Source organism: Homo sapiens, chromosome 13 (genome assembly GCF_000001405.40).
Source record: "Homo sapiens chromosome 13, GRCh38.p14 Primary Assembly".
Classification (NCBI taxonomy): domain Eukaryota; kingdom Metazoa; phylum Chordata; class Mammalia; order Primates; family Hominidae; genus Homo; species Homo sapiens.
In genome coordinates this window covers 31790059-31796158 of record NC_000013.11, presented here as the reverse complement: position 1 = coordinate 31796158, position 6100 = coordinate 31790059, and the positions used below count along the sequence as shown (strand labels likewise).

Below are 6100 nucleotides of genomic sequence, written 5' to 3'. Positions count from 1 at the left end.
AGAATGGCGTGAACCCGGGAAGCGGAGCTTGCAGTGAGCCGAGATTGCGCCACTGCACTCCAGCCTGGGCGACAGAGCAAGACTCCGTCTCAAAAAAAAAAAAAAAAAAAAAAAAAAAAAGAATAACACATAGAACAAAAATGTATTTTTGTTTATTTTTCTTCATGTTTCTTACAGTAAATTAAACTACTGTGGTTCAGAACCTTTAGACTAATTTTATTAAAAAAAAGAAAAAAGTTAAAAATTCAACTATGTGAATTATTCTTTTGGGCCCAAATATATTCACAAGATTCCCACCTAACATCACTATTACCTTTCATGCTGACTTCTTAGTCACTCTTTGCTTTATTCTTGCTGTCGCTAAAATCCTGAGTGATCATCTCATTTCTCACAGTGAAAATAAGACTTGCATATATTTTCAAAGTTGTTAAAAAATATGAATCTGAACCTAGACTGTATGTAAGATTGGTGAAGTCTAGGGTAAAAATACTTTAAATTCAAGGTGATCTGTTATTTTTATCCAAATCATTTCGTATTCAATGAAATCATAGTATAAAGCCATACGGTAAAATTTTATAAAACTAGTTGTCTTAGGCCTCTTTCCAAAAAATTTAGTTAAGCGTAAAAGATAATCACTCTGTTAGAAAATGCTCCCCTGCCCCAAATTCTGATAGCAGACTTACAGAAAGGATCAAAAGTGTATGTTCTAGGCTGGGTGTGGTCACTCACACCTGTAATCCCAGCACTTTGGGAAACCGAGGTGGGCGGATCGCTTGAGGTCAGGAGTTTGAGACCAGCCTGGCCAACGTGGTGAAACCTGGACTCTACTAAAAATATAAAAATTAGCGGGGCATGGTGGTGGGCACCTGTAATCCCAGCTACTTGGGAGTCTGAGGCGAAATAATCACTTGAACCTGGGAGGCGGAGGTTGCAGGGAGCCGAGATGGCGCTACTGCACTCCAGCCTGGGAGACAGGGCAAGACTCTGTCTCAAAAAAAAAAAAAAGTGTATGCTCTAAATGCACGATAGTAATATAAGAAAGATGTTAACAATAGGGGAAACCAGGTGGGGCATATGTGGAAAATTGTATTATCTTTGCACCTTTCCTAAAATGAAAACTATTTTCAAATAAAAAATTAATTAAAAATTATGTATTCTTATATTCTTCAAACAGAAAAAAAATTGTACTTTAGAGCTCTGGGACTCTTCCTCTCATATGCAAATTGATGATGATGATGATTTTGTGAGTGTGTGTTTGTGTGTGTGTGTGACGATCTCTTTGTCTATCTGGAATATATCCCAGATACTTAACTCCTTTGGGCCGAGCTCCATGCCTGCATGGTATGCTCCACCAAATGAGTTTCTTCAGTCCTTCATCTTACCCTGTTCCCTGGCTTTGAGCCTGGGAATCCACTATGTCTTCCTGGAACACAGACCCCACCCCACCCTCCTCTGCCTTCGCTTGGCTAATACCTCCTCATCCTTTGGGCCTCAGTTTGAATTCATTTCTTTTGGGAAGCCTTCCCTGTTACTCAGATCTGGGGCTCCTAGAACATTCTGTACTCTTCCTTGATGGCATTTATCAGCCTGTGTGTGATGTGAGGACATGTTGACTTGTCTGCCTCCTCCTCTGTGGTCTGTAAGGCCTTTGAGGCTGGATCTGTTGTTTCTCCCGTACCTAATATAGTATATAGTGCACAGCCTATAGTGAGTGCTGAATAAATGCCTATTTGAACAATGCATGTCATGGTGTGTGTGTGTGTGTGTGTGTGTGTGTGTGTGTGTGTGTGGTGTGTGTTTCAGGGAGAGTCTCTATTAAGTGCACCTATGTTAGGAGTAATGAGGGAATGAATGATAAGGAAATACAAAGAACAGCCTGTAATACTCTGGATCCTGGGAATGACATATCTATGACCAAATAACTACCAAATAGGGTAGTGTGTGAGGGGTATTACTAAAGTGGTGCAAACTAAATGTTCTGTTTTTCAGAGGAGGAAGAGAAGGAGTAATGGAGAAGAACTGGGCATGATGGTTAGGGTCATGTCATGATGAGTTTTAAGTGACTAATTTAAACTTGACCTTGATAGTACTAGGGAGCCACTGAAGGTCTCTGAGTGGAGGTGTACACAGTCCTTTTGATAGTCAGAGAATATAACAATGGTAGTGAATAGATAAATGAGAGGAAGGGGAAGGTCCCAGAGGTTACGAGACCAGTAAGGGATAAGGTAATAATTCAGGGTTGAGGGAGTAAGGTTTCCAACTAAGGCAACAGCAGTGGGTAGAGACTGGAAGGAGCAGAAGCAGAAGCAAATTTTGAAGAAAAAGAAAGGACAGAAGAGCTTGTTGGCTCCTTGGATGGGAAGAAAAGATTAGAAGAGAGAGTCAAAAGAAGATCGCCCCAAAGAGAGGATATAGGAAAGGCCTTAATTCTAAGCAGGAGGGATACATATTAGAAAATAGAAAAAAAGTGTTTTTAACTTTAAAGGGCTAAATTTGTCATTCATTTCTAAAGAACACAGAGTCTTCTTTTACAATATTAGAAGGAATTGAGAAAACTGGAAAGGAAAGAGCTTTATTAAGCACCCTTACATTGCTGACTTAACAGCTGCATTTAACAAAGGCAATAAACCTTCCTGGTATTTCCATTCAGATATCTCTTACTTGTCAGTTTCCTGAGTTTTATTATTATTTACTTAACTCATAACTAGATTGTAAAAAAAAAAAAAAGAGTTTAAATAACTTGGTAGGTTTACAGGATGAGGCACTAAACTGGAATTCCTTCAGCTCATAGTCATTTCATATAAACATGAAATCAAAGGATCTTATGGATAATAAAAATATCATCCAGAGATCCTGGTAGTATGTCTTTATTTTCCACACTAAATATTGTCTAATAAAAAGTTTAATAAAACTTCAATAAACACAATAGTAAAAACTTTTTTGTGTGAAAAAGGACACAGTCTTGACTATGTTATCTCACTTTCTGAAACAAACAAATCCACCTTTGCTGAAATTTAACGTATTTCTAGCAAAATTATGTTTTTCCAGGAAATGAAAAAATATAATTTACCTAGGAAAATTCCAAGAGAATACCCTTTGCTTCCAATATCTTCTGTTTGGTCATAATAAAGTGGGAAACATACTCCATTTTTCCCATAAAAGTTTCCAAAATAATCCTTATTCCAAAATGGAATTACAGCTATTAAAAATCCCGCCATCCAGATGCAAATGAGGATGACTGAGGTCTGCCGTTTTCCAGGTCGAATGTTACTGAAGGGGAAGACAATGACCAGGAACTTCTCCAAAGTCAAGTAGGTCAGTAGCAGAACAGAGACTTCGGTGGACAGCATGGCCAGGAACCCCATGAGGCGGCACTGCACGCTCTCCATCCACAGCAAGGCATACTTCTGATACTGCCCTCGGTATTTTATATCGAAAATGCCAACAAAGAACAAGTAAACACCCATCAGGCAATCAGCACCTGTGGAAGAATTGAAACAGTGTATGTCATCAGTTTCCAATGTCCCTGTTTTAGTTTTCTGATTAAGTCTATTTCCAGCATTTTAATTTTCTAATTAGATCTAGTTCCTTTCATCTTATATCAAATGAACTAATGTAAACATCTGAGTACCAAGAAGCGAGTGGACTTAAAAATCTGTAATATTTCTAAAGTACTACACTATGTTTTTATTTTGTAGTTTAAAAAAATCGGAATGGGAATTTTCTGGAAGGAGGAAGGACTAGTTGTTAAACAGTTAACATATAGTATCTTCATAGTTAATAAAGGGAATCATTTTCCAGGCCTAATGAGCATAGGTATCATTGTAATTGAAGTTCAGATTAGTTTTATCACCCACAAAACTTTATAATCTGTCACTTGACTCATTGGTTGCCTATTAGCCCATTCCCAAGACATACTCCTGAGAGCAGGCCACTGTAAGGTCATACAACCTAAAACAAAGCCACAAAGAGCCAGAACTTTTATATTTAGAAAAAAAAATGTGCCCAGGATGTATAATTCACATTAAATGCCATTTGTTGAAAGCCAATAAATACATATATATGTCTAGTGCACAACTCACAGAAGATATCCTTAATCTACTTATACTGGAAACATACTTACAACAAAGGATTTTGATGGACATAGCGTGAGTTGTATTTTCAGCTTTAATGAAAGATCTCATGCCAATGACAAAAAGATTTCCAAAGCAGGTAATGAAAGCTATAACCCAGACAAATATTCTGAGGATATTGTTAGCCAAGAGGTCCTCAAATGAAGAAATGCCGTCCGTCAAGGGCATACATATTCGGACATGGGGAGCATAGGAGCAGTATCGAAAGTTTTTGAAATAACTAAAGTCAAAGGGAAAAAAAGTGTCACTTTGCAGCAATGATACAGAACCTACAGTTGCAGTCCTATCGGGGCTGCAACTCCATGCTAGGTATACAACTTCACTAGGTTTGTTTATTTTTGTTTAGTAGTGTTTATATAATTAAAGAGTTCTTCATGAAACACTAGGCAGTATCCTTTTAAAGATGAGGAACCTAAAGAACATAGGAATTCAGTAACTTGGATGAGGAGAGTTTGGGAGGACATGAAAATTTGAAATCTCAGGGGCTGTATGTTCCCTGGTCACATTGGTTTATTGATTATTCTGTAAGGTATTATGAAAAGTGGATTATCCTTGTCAAAGTGATCTCCAGCAGACTTTCAGGGGCTTGGGCTTGGGATGGGAAAAGCCTATTGTCGCTCACCTAGAACATTTCTGTCTTGTCCTGAGTTTTAAACACCGAGGTCTACTGACTTTAACTAGCCTCCTCTTCCCTGACACTGGCAGGAAGGGAGGACCTCTGACACTAGGAAAATGCATTCTCACTGGATCTGGGAAGAGAAGCAGCTGCCTTAAACACAGATTTCTTACCAGGGTCTGGAAGGAGTTAGTTTCTATGGGAAAATAAGTTTGTTTGTGGTCAGTGGGCACAAGGCATCTGGAAGTGCTGGAATGGGTGAGGTCATCTGGCCATTGCCATCCCTCAAACCTGTGTGTTTAGAATTTTCTCTCATAAAACTTGCTCTATTTTTATTCGTTTGCTACTTCTTTCAGTTCACTTTTCTGCTCTTTGCTGTCAGTTTAATTCATTTTTTGTTATTTCTCAATTCAGTTTCTAGACCAAGGCTGCCTGGTATCAGACCCCTGGCTGCCTGCACCACCTCGCCTCTTGCCCTGCAATGCTTACTCCACCCAGACACACACCCTCAGACAAGCCATGCTCATGCCCTACTCAGAGCTTTGCTTTTTCTTATGCCCCTGCCTGGAAGATTCTTCCCCTGGATACTGCCAGGGCTGCTTTCTCCCTCCGCTCAGGTCTGCTCAAATGTCACTTCACTCCAACTTCCATCCACCCCACCTCAGTGGTAATCCTCAATCCTCCTTCTATCCCTTACCTTGCTTTATTTAAATTTGTAGCACTTATTCACTATTTACTCACTTGCTCCTTTACTCTCTGGTTCCCAAAGCTAAATGGAAGCTCTCAGGCACAGACATCCTCTCTTTTGTTCATCTTTATGTCCCTGGTGTCTAACGCAGTGCCTGGCACGTGTAGGTACTCAACAAATACTTCTTGGATCAGCAAGTGGATGATGAATAATTTAGCACTGGGTGTGTCAGGAAGAGAAACAGGAGGCAATTCTTGCCTTCAAGTAGCTTACAGTTCAGCTTCCTAATATCTGGCATCCAATTAAAGGAACCTGAACTATAATGAACTCTTTTCTTCTCCTTCCCTGGAGTCCCTGGCACACACATGGCTTGACTTCTTGGTCCTTTTAGGATTCCATTATGTCTGCTATCTTCAGATAGAACCGTCTAGCATCTCTCAGTGGTTCAGGGCCCCCTTGCGCTGTGACCACACTACTCGTTGTCAGGTGAAAGGGATTGGGGTGACAAGGTGGGGATGTTTCAATAAATAAAGGACAAGGAATATGAAAGAAGAGTAAGTAGGTTACTTAGTAGGGAAGTAACTAAGCTAATGTGTTTTCTCTTAATTGTTGACCTGTTCTTGACCTTGGCCTGAGGTCTATATTTAACACAGCAGTTTCTCC

The 6100-nt window shown here is 39.5% G+C and overlaps 1 protein-coding gene across 3 annotated transcripts in view; it reads right to left on the bottom strand.

The window, feature by feature from the left end:
* The window catches only part of RXFP2 (relaxin family peptide receptor 2), a 63864-nt gene that overhangs the window by 7231 nt on the left and 50533 nt on the right, over window positions 1-6100 (bottom strand). For 2 of the 3 annotated variants that reach the window (NM_130806.5, NM_001166058.2), the window contains 2 exons: window positions 4124-4353; window positions 3071-3481 (listed from right to left, as the gene is read on the bottom strand). In NM_130806.5, the coding sequence (NP_570718.1) occupies window positions 3071-3481; window positions 4124-4353 (641 nt within the window). Of the gene's footprint in view, window positions 1-3070; window positions 3482-4123; window positions 4354-6100 lie in introns of those variants that run through there. The other variant, XM_017020389.2, reaches the window with a different exon arrangement.